A 17,316-nucleotide genomic window follows, 5' to 3' on the forward strand; every position below is an offset into this window, starting at 1 on the left:
GGGAGCGCAAAGGGTGAGTGAGTGCGCCTGGATCCCCAGCAGCGGCTTCACCCCTGCCTCTGGGTCCCCCGACACACGAGGGGTTCTGGCCGAGTGAGTTGATGTGCGGTTCCTAACTTAACAGGCAAGTCAGGTTCATGGGCACACTGAGCCATTTTCTGATAATTTTTTCTTCTTTCTTCTTTTTTTTTTTTCTTTCTTCTTTTTTTTTTTTTTTTGAGACAGGGTCTTCCTCTGTCGCCGAGACTGGAGTGCAGCGGCGCGTCCTCGGCTTACTGTAGCCGTCGCCTCTCAAGCTGAAGCGATCCTCTCGCCTCAGCCTCCCGAGAAGCTGGGACTACAGGTGCACACCACCATGCCCAGCTTTTCTTCTTCTTACTTTTTTTTTTTTTTTTTTTTTGTAGAGACAGAGTCTCCCTATGTTGCCCAGGCTGGTCTTAAACTCCTGGGCTCAAGCGATCCGCCCTCCTCGGCCTCCCAAGGTGCTAGGATTACAGGCTTGAGCCAGTGCGCCCGGCCTGATCTTTTCTTCTTTGCGTTTGGTGCTCTCATTCTATCTGATCCTTTCATGCTTCGTGATGAGCAGAAAGGGGTGCTTCCCCGTCTGCCCCGCCACGGTATGGGTGTGGACAGCAACCGGGAGATGGAGTGGCCCAGGTACCACCGGATACCGCCTGACCCAGGCTTTGGTGATGGTAGCGGCTGGAGAGGGAGACTGTGTGAGGGAAGAAAAGCCCACTTTGCGGGAGAGGGGAACCGTGCCAGTCACACGGGGCTGCCCTCGCCCGGACTGTGCTGTGGACATAGGATGTTTCCTAAAGGAATCCTGCTGCAGGTGCATCTGCAAAGCCCAGCAGCCTCACAGCCTCCACTTCCCAGTGTGGCCCAGGCCCCCTGATCTCTAGTTCTTGGGACAGCTCTTGGGGTGAGATTGTGAGCGGGGCAGAGGTATACTGTGGGGCCTGGGGCGAGAACTTCCCAACCCGCCTTCTGTATTAAGCACCTGGCTTTGGTGGATGGATGGTCACCATGCCTGGGACCGTGGCTGTCCTGGGGTTTGTGTCTTTGAGCGTTCAATGGTGTCAGCAGCTCACGGCTGCCCTGAACTGGATCTTTTTTTTTTTTTTTTTTTTTTTTTTTTGAGACGGAATCTCGCTCTGTCGCCAGGCTGGAGTGCAGTGGCGTGATCTTGGCTCACTGCAACCTCCGACTCCCTGGTTCAAGCGATTCTCCTGCCTCAGCCTCCCCAGTAGCTGGGATTACAGGCATGCGCCACCACGCCCAGCTAATTTTTGTATTTTTAGTAGAGGCGGGGTTTCACCATGTTGGCCAGGATGGTCTTGATCTCCTGACCTCATGATCCGCCTGCCTCAGCCTCCCAAAATGTTGGGATTACAGGCGTGAGCCACCGTGCCCGGCCCTGAACTGGATCTTGAGGGGTGAGGAGTCTGTCAGTGAGGGGCCAGGTGGGGGCATTCCAGAGAGAGGGAAGAATGAGCAGAGGAGGCCAGGCGGGATGAGAGATTGCCCCGCTCTTCCCCCTGGGGTTGCAGCCCAGAGGGCTCAGGTGGTCGAGGGCATATGTGGGCTAAGAGGAGGTGCGCCTGCTTTGGGATGGAGAGCGCCTCCCATCTGTGAGGTCATGGTGAGACTCTGTGGCTGGGCAGGTCTCGTGGCGCCTGTTGGATGGCCTGGGAGCAGGGAGATGTGCCAGGAGCTGTCATCTCCCGTGTCAGGCAGGTGCCAGGAAGAGAGGCTGGGGCTGAGTTTTGAAGGGCATGCTTTCCAGTGCCCTCTGCAGGGGAGAGTGCCCATTTCCCGGCCCCTGTGTACTGCAGAGCCCGGGGGAGGGGGGTGTTCTGTAGACACCCCTGAATCTTTATATGATATAGGGGTGGCTGAGGTCCCAGGCAGGTAATGTGGAGATGATACAAGAAGGTAGGGTGTGGTGGCACATTTTTTTTCTGAGGAGCTGCTAGGCCGGGTGCGGTGGCTCACACCTGTAATCCCAGCACTTTGGGAGGCTGAGGTGGGAGGAGCACTTGAACCCAGGAGTTCCAGGCTGCAACGAGCTATGATCGTGCCACTGCACTCTGGCCTGGATGACAGAGTGAGATCCTGTCTTTTCTTTAAAAAAAAAAAAAAAAAAAAGCTGCTCAGATCGGGCTGTTGTAGCGCCCTGAGAGTGTTAGAGGAGTGATGATAGACCTTTTTTATTTTGTTTTCAAGAAAAACTAGAAATTGAGATTCAGTAATACTTTCCTGATTTTGTTTACTTTATTTTTTTAAACTTTTTTGAGACGGAGTCTTGCTCTGTCGCCCAGGCTGGAGTGCAATGGTGCGATCTCAGCTCACTGCAGCCTCCACCTCCGGGTTCAAGTGATTCTCCTGGCTCAGCCTCCCCAGTAGCTGGGATTACAGGTGCGTACCGCCATGCCCGGCTAATTTTTGTATTTTTAGTAGAGATGAGGTTTCACCATGTTGGCCAGGCTTGTCTCGAGTTTCTGACCTCAGGTGATCCACCTGCCTCGGCCTCTCAAAGTGCTGGGATTACAGGTGTGAGCCACCATGCCCGGCCCACTTTCCTGATTTTAAAAAATATGGGCAACTATTTGTTTGAACTATATGGTTCTGATGATATTTGACTTTGTTGAGCTACAAAAGTGGCAGTTTCATAGAGTTCAACCAGAATAATACAGCATTTTACAAAAGAAAATCTGCAGGTAGCATAAGCTCGAGTGATCTCTGATAAACCTCGTCCTCAGAGTGTGGCTTTTTTGTTTTAAATTAATTTTTTTTTTTTTTTAGAGACAGGGTCTCACCCTCTCACCTAGGCTGGAGTGCAGTGGTGAGATCAGCGCTCATTGCAGCCTTGAACTCCTGGGCTTAAGCAATCCTCCTGCTTCAGCCTCCTGAGTAGCTGAGACCACAGGTGTGCATCACCATGCTCGGCTACATTTTTTTATGTTTTGTAGACCTGAGATCTTGCTTTGTTGTCCAGGCTGGTCTTGAACTTCTGGATTCAGGCGATCCTCCCTCTTTGGCTTCCCAGTGTTGGGATTACAGGCGGGAGCCACTACGCCTGGCCAGAGCTTTTTTTCTCTCTGTCCAACCCCTCATCTCTTCCTGTCCTTGGCCCTGGTACCAGCTGACCTCTTGGTTGCTCTCTGCCATTCACTGATGTCTTTGGAACTTTCCCCTCTCCCCTCCCCAAGTTCCGCTGCCATTAGCCAGCCAACAGCCTTGGGCTTCCGGAACCTTTTCAACTTTGGTGACCTCCTTGCCTTCTCTTCAGCCACCCACTCCCAGGGCCACACCGTTTTCCCTTCACTCTAGCAGTCCTTAGTGGTAACTCCAGTCTGCTTCTCAGCAGTTCCTCTCATTCCTGTAATCGCCGTCTGCCCAGCAGAACCCCGACTCTGAGCCCATGCTTTGACCCCCTCTGCGGCCACTATACCAGGCTGGGAAGGGCTCTGAGGAACCCCTCAGGACTGTGGGAGGTTTGTCATCCTCACCACGCAGGTCTTCCTGTCACCACTGACACCCTAAGCCTTTGTCAGTTTGTTTTTTTTTTTTTTTTGAGACAGAGTTTTGCTCTTGTTGCCCAGGGTAGAGTTCAATGGTGAGATCTCAGCTCACCGCAACCTCCGCCTCCCAGGTTCAAGTGATTCTCCTGGCTCAGCCTTCCAAGTAGCTGGGATTAGAGGTGCCCACCACCACACCTGGCTAATATTTTGTATTTTTGGTAGAGACAGGGTTTCACTGTGTTAACCAGGATGGTCTCATCTCCTGACCTCGTGATCTGCCCACCTTGGCCTCCCAAAGTGCTGGGATTACAGGCGTGAGCCACCGCGCCTGGCCGCCTTTGTCAGTTTCCTCTCTTATTCTCTCAACAACCTTCCTCCCTCCTGGGACCCCTACCTTTGCTTCTGACTTCCCTTGGAATCTTGAGGTCAGCAGTTGTAGTCTGTCTTCACCACCGTCCTGCCCCTTCCCTGTAGGTGCTCCAGTCCATGTGGGTCTGACTCTCCTGCCGTCTGAGAGGACAAGGGTCCTTCCATCACCAACCTCCACCTCCTGCACCTTCAGTTCTCCTCTTTTCATTGGCCCCTTCCCTTTGTTTCTTTTTAATTTTTTTTTTTTAGAGACAGGATCTAGCTCTGTTGCCAGGCTGGAGTGCAGTGGTGCGATCACAGCTCACTGCAGCCTGAACTCCTGGCCTCAAGTGATCCTCCTGTCTCAGACTCCCAAAGTGCTGAGATTACAGGCATGAGCCACCAAGCCCAGTCCCTGCCTGCTTTTTTTTTTTTTTTTTTTTGAGACGGAGTCTTGCTCCGTCACCCAGGCTGGAGTGCAGTGGTGTGATCTCGGCTCACTGCAACCTCCGCCTCCCAGATGCAAGCGATTCTCCCACCTCAGCCTCCCAAGCAACTGGGATTAGTGTCCACCACCACGCCCGGCTAATTTTTATATTTTTAGTAGAGATGAGGTTTCACCATGTTGGCCAGGCTGGTCTCAAACTCCTGGCCTCAAGTGATCAACCCTCCTCGGCCTCCGAAAGTGTTGGGATTACAGGCGTGAGCCACTGCGCCTGGCCCCTGCCTGGTTCTGAAGGCATCTGAACTGGCTTTCTCTGCCCAGTGGTAAAGTGAGGCATGGGAGGCCCTGGGCAGAGCAGGGGGTACCCAGGAAAGCAGGAAGGGAGATGAAGACCCAGAAAGCTGGGTGCAGGCTGCATCCTAGAAACCAGAGAGGAAGAGGTGGGCCACCCGATAGCAAGATCAGAATGGAAAGTCCATAGATGGGGACGGCTAGGAGATGACCAAGTGTGGGCCATGTTCTCTTTGTTGACTGAGGAAAGGCGGGGAATGGGGCGGCTGGTGGAGGAGGGAGAGGAGGTTATTTAAGGAGAGAGATGAAAGGAGAAAGCAAGAAGGTCGGGGGAGGGCAGCATGGCCTGGAGCTGGCAGAAGATTTACGGTCCAGAGGGCAGGTGGAGGCCATCTTCATGCCCTGTGTGGCATGGGAGGCCCTGGGTGACCCTGTAAAGGGGACACGAGATGTATGGGCTACTTGCCTACTGTCTGGGTTTCCAGGAGGGCTGGCCAGGGAGTGCCCTGAGGCTAGAGCCAGGCTTGGCCCTGGCGTTGCTGGTCACCCCTCTCCTTTCCACCTTCCCCGCTGCATGCTGAGTACACAGGTGTGGTCCCTGATTCCATCCACTGATCATAGGCACCTGCACAGCAGCGACCCTCATGTCTGTCTGCTTCCTTTTTTTTTTTTTTCTTTGAGACGGAGTCTTACTCTGTCGGCCAGGCTGGAGTGCAGTGGCGGGATCTTAGCTCACTGCAACCTCCGCCCCCCAGGTTCAAGTGATTCTGCTGCCTCAGCCTCCCAAGTAGCTGGAATTACAGGTGCCTGCCACCTCGCCTGGCTAATTTTTGTATCTTTAGTAGAGATGGTGTTTCACTATCATGGCCAGGCTGGTCTTGAACTCCTGACCTCCTGATCCACCCACCTCGGCCTCCCAAAGTGCTGAGATTACAGGCGTGAGCCATTGTGCCTGGCCTCTTCTTTTTTTGGAGACATCTCACTCTGTTACCCAGGCCGGAGTGCAGTGACATGATCATAGCTCATTGCAGCCTCAAACTCCCAGGCTTAAGTGATCCTCCTGCCTCAGACTCCTGAGTAACTGGGACCACAGGTGCATGCCACCATGCCTGGATATTTTTAAAAATTTTTGTAGAGATGAGGGTCTCGCTGTGTTTCCCAGGCTAGTCTGGAACTCTTCGGCTCAAGTGATCCTCCCACTTCGGCCTCCCAAAGTGCTGGGATTACAGGCATGAGCCACTGCACCCAGCCCGCTTCCTTATTTCCTTCAGGCCTTTGCTCAAGTATCACCTGGTGAGTGAGGCTTCTGTGAATACCTGGTTTAAAAATCACACATCCTTGGCCGGGCATAGCAGTACCTGCCTGTGGACCCAGCTTCTTGGGAGGCCGAGGTGGGAGGATTGCTTGAGCCCAGGATGTCAAGGCTGCAGTGAGCTATGATTACACCACTGGACTCCAGCCTGGGCAACAGAGCGAGACTCTCCTAAAAAAAAAAAAAAAGGCCGGGAGCAGTGGCTCACACCTGTAATCCCAGCACTTTGGGAGGCCAAAGTGGGTGAATCACCTGAGGTCAGGAATCCATGACCAGCCTGGCCAACATGGTGAAACCCTATCTCTACTAAAAATACAAAAAATTAGCCAGGTGTGGTGGCACATGCCTGTAATCCCAGCTACTCGGGAGGCTGAGGCAGGAGAATCTCTTGAACCTGGGTGGTGGAGGTTGCAGTGAGTCGAGATCACGCCACTGCACTCCAACCTGGGCGACAGAGCGAGACTCTATCTAAAAAAAAAAAAAAAAAAAAAAAATCCTGCATCTAACGCCGTAGCACTCGTCTCTGCCTGACGTTATTTGACTGCTGTTCTCTGCCACCTTCCACTCGATGCAAGCTTCTTGAAGGTGGGGACCTGGGTGCATTGCAGACTGAGTGGTGCCTGACCTTAGGGGCATGTGACTCATCTGTGTGCTGACTGACCAAGAGAATAAGTGGACCCTGGCATACAGAGGAGGACAGAGTGGGTACAGAGGAGGACAGAGTGGGTACAGAGGAGGACAGAGTGGCTGCAGAGGGGTGGTGACTGCCCCTGAGTGCCCATGTGGTCTTCATTCTTTGTGTCTGGGTCACAAAACATGTTGAAGAACAGGATTTGGTTCACAAACAGCATGAAGGATTTTCCCTCAGTCCAAGAGCAGGCCATGGATGAAAGGGCTTAAAGCAACTGTCTTGGTATAAAGATACCATGATAGGCTGGGTGTGGTGACTCCACGCCTGTAATTGCAGCACTTGGGGAAGCCCAGGCAGGAGGATTGTTTGAGCCCACCCTGGGCAACTGGGCAACACAGCAATACCCTGTCTCTACAAAAGAAAAAATCAGCCGTGCGTGATGGCATGTGCCAGAAGTCCTAGCTACTTGGGAGGCTGAGGCTGGAGGATCGCTTGAGCCTAGGAGGTTGAGGCTGCAGTGAGCTGTGATTGCACCACTGCACTCCAGCCTGTGGGACAGAGCGAGATCCTGTCTCTCTCCCAAAAAAAACCTAAAAGTGGTTGGGTGCAGTGGCTCATGCCTGTAATGCCAGCACTTTGGGAGGCCAAGGCAGGAGGATCGCTTTAACCCAGGAGTTTGAAACCAGCCTGGGCAACATAGTGAGACTCTGTCCCTATTTATAAATCAAAAACCAAAAGAATCTATCAGAACAGTTGTGATGGACAGCTTTGATTAGCTCCGACTCTGCCCTGGGTGCTCGGCCAAGCCCTTGAATCCTCAGACAGCAGCAGCGGCAATCCCTGGGTCGTGGCCACCCTGATGGTGCCCATGTTGGTCATCAGTAATCGAGTGATGTTGGCCTAGGAAAGTTAGCATCCCCCAGGTCAAGCGGGTGGGCGGTGTCAAGACGGGGAGTCCGTCGGTGTGGCATAGGCTGTGGCGCTAACCCCTGCTCTCTCCTGCCTCTCCTCTCCTAGGCATTTGCATCAAGTGTGGGCTTGGCATCTACGGAGCCCAGCAGGCGTGCCAGGCAATGGGGAGTCTTTATCACACTGACTGCTTCACCTGCGACTCGTGTGGTAGGTAACCTCGTGCCCTGGGTAGCTCTGTGAAGGGGACCTGCCACATCATCCCCATTCCCCTCAAACTGCCTTGCCCCTGAGTCCAGGCAGATGGACCACCTGGCTCTGGCCCAGGCTGGGCTGTGGAGGACTCTGTCTGGGGAGGAGGCATGGGGCCCCTGAGGAGCCTTTTGCTGGCTGTAGGACAGGGCTGCCCCCTGGTCGTCAGCTGTGGATCCTCTGTGCCACGCAGGGCACTAATGCGCTCATGTCACCCAGCTGCCTGGGAGCAGCGTCAGAAGCCCATGAAGGACCTTCTGCCTGTCTGGACATACGACTAATATTTCTTTTTCCTGCTATCTATTTTTGTTGTTGTTGTTGAGACAGAGTCTTAATCTGTTGCCCACGCTGGAGTGCAGTGGAATGATCTCGGCTCACTGCAGCCTCTGCCTCCCGGTTTCAAGAGATTCTCCTGCCTCAGCCTCCCAAGTAGCTGGGATTATAGGCACACGTGCCACCACGCTCGGCTAATTTTTTTTTTTTTTTTAGGTAGAGATGGGGTTTTACCATGTTGGCCAGGCTGGTCTCAAACTCTTGAGCTCAAGTGATCCGCCTGCCTCGGCCTCTCAAAGTGCTGGGAGTACAGGTGTGAGCCACTGCGCCTGGCCTACAATTTATTTTTGATCATAATTTTACACCCAACATAAACTATAAGTGTTATAGTTTAACCTAGACAAAGTTATAAAAAGAAAAAAGGAACTATAATCCAACCACCCTAATAAATATCCACTCTTGGTTTGCCCACTGTTCTTCCAGACCTTGCCTTAATCAGACATCTTTTATGTATTTGCACGTTTTTTAATTTTAATTTTATATTTTTTTTTTGAGACAGTCTCGCTCTATTGCCAGACTGGAGTGTAGTGGTGTGATCTCAGCTCACTGCAACCTCCGTCTCCCTGGTTCAAGCGATTCTTCTGCCTCAGCCTCCCGAGTAGCTGGGATTACAGGCACACGCCACCACTCCCAGCTAATTTTTGTATTTTTTTAGTGAGATGGGATTTCACCATGTGGCCAGGATGGTCTCGATCTCCTGACTTTGTGATCCGCCTGCCTTGGCCTCCCACAGTGCTGGGATTATAGGTGTGAGTCACCTTGCCCGGTAAAATACCCTAGAAACTTCTATCTTGTACCCCCACTTGTTTTTTGAGACAGAGTCTCGCTCTCCCCGAGGCTGGAGTGCAGTGGCGAGATCTCGGCTCACTGCCACCTCCGTGTCCCAGTTTCAAGTGATTCGCCTGCCTCAGCCTCCCGAGTAGCTGGGACTATAGGCGCGCAACACCACGCCCGGCTAATTTTTTGTATTTTTAGTAGAGATGTGGTTTCATAGTGTTAGTCAGGATGGTCTCGATCTCCTGACCTCGTGATCCATCTGCCTTGGCCTCCCAAAGTGCTGGGATTACAGGCGTGAGCCACCGCGCCTGGCCCTATCTTGCCCTTTTTCAGTTGATCCCTGTATGTCCCCCATCACATTTGCCCAACTGGTATTCTGATTTCTACCACTGTAGAAAAGTTTTGTCCATTCTAGAACTTAACATAAATGCATTCCTATAGTGCATACTCTTTAATGGCTGATCTTGTGTTCAATGTCTTTTTTTTTTTTTTTTTTTTTAAGAAGCAGGGTCTTATGTCTTCATCCAGGCTGAAGTGCAGTGGCCCAATCACGGCTCACTGCAGCCTTGACTTCCTGGGCCCAAGTGATCTTCCTGCCTCAGCCCCACAATGAGTAGTGGGACTACAGACACGTACCACCACGACTGGCTAATTTTTTTTTTTTTCCTAGAGACAGGGTCTTGCTATGTTGCCCAGGCTGGTCTTGAACTCCTGGGCTCAAGCGATGCTCCTGCCTCAGCCTCCCAGGAGGCTGGGAGGCTGAGGCAGGAGGATCACTTGAGCTTGGGAGGTTGAGGCTGCAGTGAGCCATGATTGTGCCATTGCACTCCAGCCTAGGTGACAGAGCGAGACCCTGTCTTAAAAAAAAAAATACCAGCCTGGCCAACATAGTGAAGCCCCATCTCTACTAAAAATACAAAAATTAGCCAGGCACCTGTAGTCCCAGCTACTTGGGAGGGTGAGGCAGGAGAATCGCTTGAACCCGGGAGTCAGAGGTTGCAGTGAGCCAAGATCACGCCACTGCACTCCAGCCTGGGCGACACAGTGATACTCTGTATCAAAAAAAAAAAAAAAAAAAGATTCATTCCCGAAAATTTGCTGTGAATTCAACTGATCTTCAAGTGAATGTGTTTATTAACCAACACATGTATTTACATGAGCAAAATATTTATTCATATATTTGTTTTGGCAACCTTTTTAAATAACTCTGTCGACAATGTGTTCTGTTTAATTTTTTTCTGAAATTTTGTTATTATAACAATAACAACATAATATTAAAGGGAAATTTAGAAAACCACCCATAACCCAGTGTCTCATCTGTTGGAGGAGGGTGCTGAGAGCTGGAAGCACGGCTCCATCCCTGGTCCCCAGCGTTCCAGGGACCCCTCTCAACCCTCACCCTTGCAGGGAGACGACTCCGTGGGAAGGCGTTCTACAACGTGGGTGAGAAAGTGTACTGCCAGGAGGACTTCCTGGTGAGTCCAAGCTGTGCCCTGGCAGTGCCAGGGGTGGGAGGTGGGGCAGGGACCCTCATTCTGACTCGAGTGGAGACCTGAGGCCAGGAGGCAGGTGCTAGCTGGGCCGCGAGTGCCCCTTTGTCACACAATGTCCTGGATCCTGTGTCCCCTCCCAGTACTCCGGGTTCCAGCAGACGGCCGACAAATGCAGCGTGTGTGGACATCTCATCATGGAAATGGTGAGCCCCTGCCCCAGCCTCCTGGAGCCCCTCTGACGTGGGTGGAGTCTGAGGACTCTACCGTCTCCCCTGCTCCAGACCTGCCAGGGGTTCAGGGCCAGAGCCTCTCCCAGGGCGGTGCTGAGCCTCCTGCCCGCGCTGACCCCTCAGTGTGCCCCGCCCACAGATCCTGCAGGCCCTGGGCAAGTCCTACCACCCAGGCTGCTTCCGGTGCTCCGTGTGCAATGAGTGCCTGGACGGGGTTCCCTTCACCGTGGACGTGGAGAACAACATCTACTGCGTGCGAGACTATCACACGTGAGTTGCTGGTGCTGTGGAGCAGGCGGGACTCGGGCCGTCCTCCCTGGCTCCTCTGGAAGCATTTTTTTCCTGCTGGACTGACTGCCCTTTGTTCTTGGCCTTTTGCCTTCCGCCTCCCCTTGTACACCTGGGCTTGGGGCAGGCATGTGTCTCTGCCTGCATCCCCTCTCCTGGTGGTCCGGCCACCAGCTGTCTTTTGCCTCTTCTCTCCCTATCGTGGCCTGCATGCTTCTCTACTCCTGGCACAGGGGACCCTCCTGGCTGCAGTACCCACCATCTTTCCCCCTCCTCCCCTCCATCCCCTGCCAGGCCAGGCCTCTTTCAGCTGGGGCAGGGGCTTGGGATCTCTGCAGCCCCCTTCTCCTGCCTGTCTGATCCCTGATCTGTTTCCTCCTACCGTGACTCCAGGTTTATTCCTGGGAGCTCTGGTTCTGAGCAGGGCCTTCCGTGGGATTGGAGTCCTGGGCAGAGGTCCCTGGTACTCAGGGTGAAGCCAGGTCTCACAGTGGTCCTAGCTAGTGGTGTCCCAGACCTGGACATTAAGAACTCACAGGAAACATGGGGGCAGATGGCAGAGCAGAACCTGAAGGCATCCTGGAGGAGGTGATTGGGTGGAGATGAAATGAGCAGTCAGATAAGAGGCCAGGGCCGGGCATGGTGGCTCATGCCTGTAATCCCAGCACTTTGGGAGGTCGAGGTGGGTGGATCGCTTGAACCCAGGAATTTGAGACCAGCCTGGGCAACATAGTGAGACCCCATTTCTATTAAAAAAAAAAAAAGAAGAGGCCAGTACAGGAAGGCATGGCAGAAGCTGTTCCCTGTCTGCCCCGAGGTGTGCACACAGGGAGAGAGGGCCTGATACTTGGGCTACGTCAGTGGGTTCCTGTGGGTGCCCCTGTGCTTGTGCCCTTGGCCTCTGGTCACTCAGCTGATCACTTCTGGTTTCCTTTATTTCTCTAGGGTTTTTGCACCAAAATGCGCCTCCTGTGCCCGTCCTATCCTCCCTGCACAGGTAGGAGCCACTCACCCAGAGATGATCAGGTGCCTGGCCCAGCCGGCTGCTGTCCTGTCTAGCCTGGGTCTAGCCCAGGTCTTGGGCGACAGTGGGAGGGATGAGCAGGTGCTTCTCCGCAGATCTTTCAGGGCTGAGGGATGTGTGTTGTGCTTGTGTACGTGGGGTACAGCTGTCCCCTGGCACAAGGTCGAGGGAAGTGGTGGCCCCTGCCGCTCAGCTGCCCCACTGCCAGCCTCTGCTCCATTCTCCATTGATGGAAGGGCCGTTCCCTGGGTCTTCTCAGCTCTGCAGGCTGAGGTGGGGGTGCTGGGGGAGCAGATGAGAGATGGACGTGGTCTGTGCGGGAGCCACCCATGGGTGCTACAGCTCTCCTGGCCTGGGGTCTTCCCACAGTGCTGGCTCTGTCCCAGGCTGGTGTGCCTGGCAAAGCAGAACTGGCAGTGCCCTTTTGAGACTCCAAGGAAGTGAAAACAGGCCGGGCACAGGGGCCCACGCCTGTAATCCCAGCACTTTGGGAGGCCAAGGTGGGATGATTGCTTGAAGCCAGGAGTTTGAGACCAGCCTGGGCCGCCTAGTGAGACCCCATTTCTACAAAAAAAATAAAAAATTAGCTGGGTGTGGTTGTGCATGCCTGTAGTCCCAGCTACTTGGGAGGCTAAGGCAGGAGGATTGCTTGAGCCCAGGAGTTTGAGGCCGCAGTGAGCTGTGATTGCACCACTGCACTCCAGCATGGGCAACAGAGAGAGACCCTGTCTCTTAAAAAAAAAAAGGATCAGTGAGGTGAAAATAATGTCCACATCCATTGACAAACACGTGACACTCTTGTGGGCCTTTGTGCGTACTGTGGGCTGTGATCGTGGAGGACGCCTAAGGCCCGCATGTGTCTGTGTGTGTGCACCTGCTGGAGCCTGTCCCGCCCCACAGAAGCAGCGTGGCAGTGCTCCCCGGGGCGGGCGTGCACCTCCGCCGGGACAGGAGCGTGGTGTGTGGGAGTGTACACTCACGCAGTTTGCCTCCAGTCCCCACATGCTCATCGTGTGTGAACTCCTTCTCTTCCTCCAGGGCTGCGAGACAACCATCCGTGTGGTGTCCATGGACAGAGACTACCACGTGGCATGTTACCACTGTGAGGTGAGCCTGGGCCCACAGGAGGCTGGCAGCTGGGGCAGGCCTCCTCCCACAGGGCTCTCCTCTCTGGGTGTTCTGTGGGCTTACCTTATCAAAATTTTAGTTTTGCCAGGCTCGGTGGTTCATGCCTGTAATCCCAGCACTTTGGGAGGCTGAGGAGGGTGGATCACCTGAGGTCAGGAGTTCGAGACCAGCCTGGCCAACATGGTGAAACCCCGTCTCTACTAAAAATACAAAAATTAGCCAGGCGTGGTGGCGGGCACCTGTAGTCCCAGCTACTCAGGAGGCTGAGGTAGGAGAATCGCTTGAACCTGGGAGGCAGAGGTTGCAGTGAGCCGAGATTGTGCCATTGCACTCCAGCCTGGGCAACAAGAGTGAGACTCTGTCTCAAAAAAAATTTTTTTTTAAAATTTTTATTTATTAGAGACAAGATCTCACTCTTGCTCAGACTGGAGTGCAGTGGCACGATTATAGCTCACTGGAGCCTCAACCTCCTGGCTCAAGCTATCTTCTTATCTCAACCTCCTGAGTAGCTATCACCACAGGCTCGCGCCGCCACATTCAGCTAATTTTGTTAATTTTAGTAGAGATGGGGTTTCATCATGTTACCCAGGCTGGTCTTGAACTCCTGGGCTCAAGCGATCCACCTGCCTTGGCCTCCCAAAGTGCTGGGACTGCAACGTGAGTCACCGCGCCAGCCTCACCTATTTTATGGCGTCTACCCCATTCTACCTGTCCTTTTCCTGCCCCGCAGAGAGTGCACTGGGGGAGGGAGTGAAGGCAGGTGCTCCCTGAGCAGCTGGAGGAGTCAGGGTTGGGGGCCTGGGTTCACAGAGGTGGGCTGAGTTGAGTGATGGTTAGGCCGTAGAAAGGACTGGATTTGGCAAGTGTCTGGATGTGGGGGGTTGGGGGTTGGGGGTTGGGAGGTGTTCATGAGAACCCCAGCAAAGAGTGAGGGCAGGGGGAAGAGGGGATGGGATGCTCTCATTTTTGGTAGCTGGAGATGTCCAGTAGACCTGTAAGTGGGCGGGGGTTCAGCGACCCTGCCGACAGCTGTGGGAATTTGGGGTCACTGGCGTGTGGCGCTCTCTTCTCTGAATCTTTTTTTTTGTTGAGATGAGTCTCACTCCGTTGCCCAGGCTGCAGTGCAGTGGCACTATCTCAGCTCACTGCAAGCTCCGCCTCCTGGGTTCAAGCAATTCTCCTGCCTCAGCCTCCTGAGTAGCTGGGACTACAGGCACCCACCACCACACCCGGCTAGTTTTTGTGTTTTTAGTAGTGACAGGGTTTCACCATGTTGGCTGGGCTGGTCTCAAACTCCTGACTTCAAGTGATCCACCCGCCTTGGCCTCCCAAAGTGCTAGGATTACAGGCTTGAGCCACCACACCAGGCCTTCTTTTCTGAATCTTGGCCCTGGGAATTCCAGTTGCCTTGGCCTCCCCAGATTCTCAACTCAAGGAGACCACGGGGCTCCCCTGGGCAGCTGGAGCAGTCTCCAGGCAGTCAGTCGGGTGTTGTGGGGTACACTTCTCAGATTTCCCCTCTCTGAGAGATGATGGGCCTCCCTGGTCTGTTGTCCGGGGTCTGAGAGTCACTGTCATCTGTTTAGCCTGTTGCTCTCGTTGTTAAAGGTGGGAGGGGAAATCCAATTTCTCTTCCTCCGTTCTGGCGGGAAGCAAGGGTCCCATGATGGACACAGGGACGGCAGCTGAAGCCAGGGAGCAAGTGAGGTCTTCCAGGATGAGTTGGAAAAGAAGGAGTGGGGGTCAGGATAGCTCAGGGAGCACTGTCATTTAAGGACACACACAGGCGAAGTGGCCACAAAGGGAGACTGAGGAGGCCTGGGCAGGAGAACCAGGAGGCTGCCGGCGACCGCGCCCCAGCAAGAGCAGAGCAAGTGGCGGTGGGGAATCTGCAGTAGCAATCAGGGATCCCTTGGGTGACAAGGTCTCCTGGGTGCAGGCGAGTGGCCCCATGGGAGCACCGATTGTGTCAGGGTACCCAGGAGGGAGGACAAGGAGCAGGGATGGTCTGCAGAGGGGCCAGGGCTCCCCTCCAGCCCTAACAGGACCTCCGCGTCCCTCCACTTGCTGGGCCGTCCTGTGGACTGTGCGGTCCCCTGCAGATTGTCCAGTACCGAGGGCAGCAAAAGGTTGACGCTGAGAGTGAGAGCGGGGCAGGCGGCTGGTGGTGGTGCTGTGCTGCCGCGAGGCTGTTGGATGGGGACTGATACCTCCGGGACCCCGCACTCCTCCCTGGCCTGGTGTGCAGCGGTCGGTAGCAGGGCCCAGCCAGTGGCCTGTGGTGGGACAGACAGGAGACCAGGGAAAGGAGTGATGTGGTGTCACTGCAGCAGCCCAGCTCCCTTCCCTGCGCAGGGCGGGCCAGGTGTTGGTGTCAGGGGCTCTGGGTAACGGGTCAAAGCCGCCAGCATTCCAGCCCCGAGCCCGCAACGGTAAAAACTGCGAGATAGGGTACTTGAAGCCCGCCCCCTGCTTCCCAGGTCCTCTCACCATTGCCTCTTCAGACCACCCGGGGGTGGCATTCATCCCTTCACCCTGCTCCAGGGACCCCTGTGTGGTGGGAACTGGTGGACACTTCCTTCCGGGCCCCCCAGCAGCTTGGAGCACAGGGCCGCTCCCTCCTCCACCCACTTGCTTCACTTTGCCCTCGGGGCTGCCAGGTTGTGGTTGTCTTCACTTTCGTTTCTCCTTGAGTCTCTTCTGCCCAGGCCTGTTCTCTTCCCACCTCCTCATGGAAGGTTCTGCTGTTTGCCGTCTTCTCTTTTCTAGTGATCTGCACCCCCTGGAAGAGGTGGTCTCCTGTTTTGTCTTTAAAAACCATCACGTGACCGGGCGCGGTGGCTCACGCCTGTAATCCCAGCACTTTGGGAGGCCGAGGCGGGCGGATCACGAGGTCAGGAGATCGAGACCATCCTGGCTAACACGGTGAAACCCCGTCTCTGCTAAAGATACAAAAAATTAGCTGGGCGTGGTGGCGGGCGCCTGTAGTCCCAGCTACTCGGGAGGCTGAGGCAGGAGAATGGCGTGAACCCGGGAGGCGGAGCTTGCAGTGAGCTGAGATCATGCCACTGCACTCCAGTCTGGGCGAGACTCTGTCTCAAAAAAAACAAAAACAAAAAACCCCATCACGTTTGGCTGGGTGCGGTGGCTCACGCCTACAATCCCAGCACTTTGGGAGGCCGAGGTGGGAGGATGGTTGTGAAGCCAGGGGTTCAAGATCAGCCTGATCAGCATAGCAAGACGCCATGTCTACAAAATACAAGGGGAAAAAAATTAGCCGGGCATGGTGGCACATGTCTGTAGTCCCAGCTGCTTGGGAGGCTGAGGTGGGAGGACTGCTTGAGCCCAGGAGTTTGAGGCTGCAGTGAGCTGAGATCGCACCACTGCATTCCAGCCTGGGCGACAGAGTGAGACCCTGTCTAATAAACAAAAAACAGGCCAGGCACGGTGGCTCATGCCTGTAATCCCAGCATTTTGGGAGGCCGAGGTGAAGGATCACTTGAGGTCAGGAGTTCTAGACCAGCCTGAGCAACATGAAACCCCATCACTACAAAAAATAAACAAAATTCACAGGGCGTGGCAGGGTGCGCCAGTGGTCCCAGCTACTCAGGAGGCTGAGGTGGGAGGATCACTTGAGCCCTGGAGGTCGAGGCTGCAGTGAACTGGGATCCAGACACTGCATTCCAGCCTGGGTGACAGTGAGAGACCCTGTCTCAAACAACAACAAACGAATAAACAAAAAACACCCAAACCATCAGGTTTTTATGCTGACACCCATGTTGACTGCTCAGCCCTCTCCCCGCAGTCTGACTTATATCCAGTGACTTCCTCTTGGATACCTGAGAGGCAGCTCCAGTCTCCAGTGCTCCACGCCGGGCTTCCCATACCCCCTCTGGCAGAGGAAGAGTCTTTTTTTTTTTTTTTGAGATGGAGTTTCGCTGTTGTCACCCAGGCTGGAATGCAATGGCAGGCTCTCTGCTCTCTGCAACCTCTGCCTCCCGGGTTTAAGTGATTCTCCAGTCTCAGCCTCCCAAGGAGCTGGGATTACAGGCATGTGCCACTATGCCCGGCTAATTTTGTATTTTTAGTAGAGACAGGGTTTCACCATGTTGGCTGGGCTGGTCTCGAACTCCTGACCGAAGCGATGATCCAGCCGCCTCAGCCTCCCAAAGTGCTGGGATTACAGGTGTGAGCCCCTGCGCCCGGCGGAAGAGTCTTCATGTTGTTTTGCGGCACCCTGCAGATCTGCCCCTCCCCTCCGTCCCTCCCCCGTCCCGTGACCTCTGATGTGCGCTTGTCTGCTGACTCTGGGGCTGGGGGCTGTGTTC

General features: G+C 54.4%; 1 protein-coding gene across 4 annotated transcripts in view, besides 2 other annotated features; it reads left to right on the top strand.

Moving 5' to 3' along the window:
* Nucleotides 1–17,316, top strand: part of WTIP (WT1 interacting protein) — a 30,547-nt gene that overhangs the window by 1,047 nt on the left and 12,184 nt on the right. For 2 of the 4 annotated variants that reach the window (NM_001080436.2, XM_011526452.4), the window contains exons 2-7: nt 7,572–7,673; nt 10,233–10,300; nt 10,459–10,521; nt 10,688–10,818; nt 11,782–11,833; nt 12,899–12,967. In NM_001080436.2, coding sequence (NP_001073905.1) covers nt 7,572–7,673; nt 10,233–10,300; nt 10,459–10,521; nt 10,688–10,818; nt 11,782–11,833; nt 12,899–12,967 — 485 coding nt within the window. Of the gene's footprint in view, nt 1–240; nt 344–7,571; nt 7,674–10,232; nt 10,301–10,458; nt 10,522–10,687; nt 10,819–11,781; nt 11,834–12,898; nt 12,968–15,757; nt 15,891–17,316 lie in introns of those variants that run through there. The other 2 variants (XM_006723014.5, XM_011526453.4) reach the window with 2 other exon arrangements.
* Nucleotides 14,580–15,467: an enhancer, noted in NCBI's record as "H3K4me1 hESC enhancer chr19:34988289-34989176 (GRCh37/hg19 assembly coordinates)". NCBI's record gives its function as "activates a minimal SCP1, AML or CMV promoter by ChIP-STARR-seq in naive H9 embryonic stem cells {active_cell/tissue: H9 hESC(naive)}" and the evidence as "EXISTENCE:reporter gene assay evidence [ECO:0000049][PMID:30033119]".
* Nucleotides 15,468–16,354: an enhancer, noted in NCBI's record as "H3K4me1 hESC enhancer chr19:34989177-34990063 (GRCh37/hg19 assembly coordinates)". NCBI's record gives its function as "activates a minimal SCP1, AML or CMV promoter by ChIP-STARR-seq in naive H9 embryonic stem cells {active_cell/tissue: H9 hESC(naive)}" and the evidence as "EXISTENCE:reporter gene assay evidence [ECO:0000049][PMID:30033119]".

The sequence above is a fragment of the Homo sapiens genome, chromosome 19, assembly GCF_000001405.40.
Source record: "Homo sapiens chromosome 19, GRCh38.p14 Primary Assembly".
Classification (NCBI taxonomy): Eukaryota; Metazoa; Chordata; class Mammalia; order Primates; family Hominidae; genus Homo; species Homo sapiens.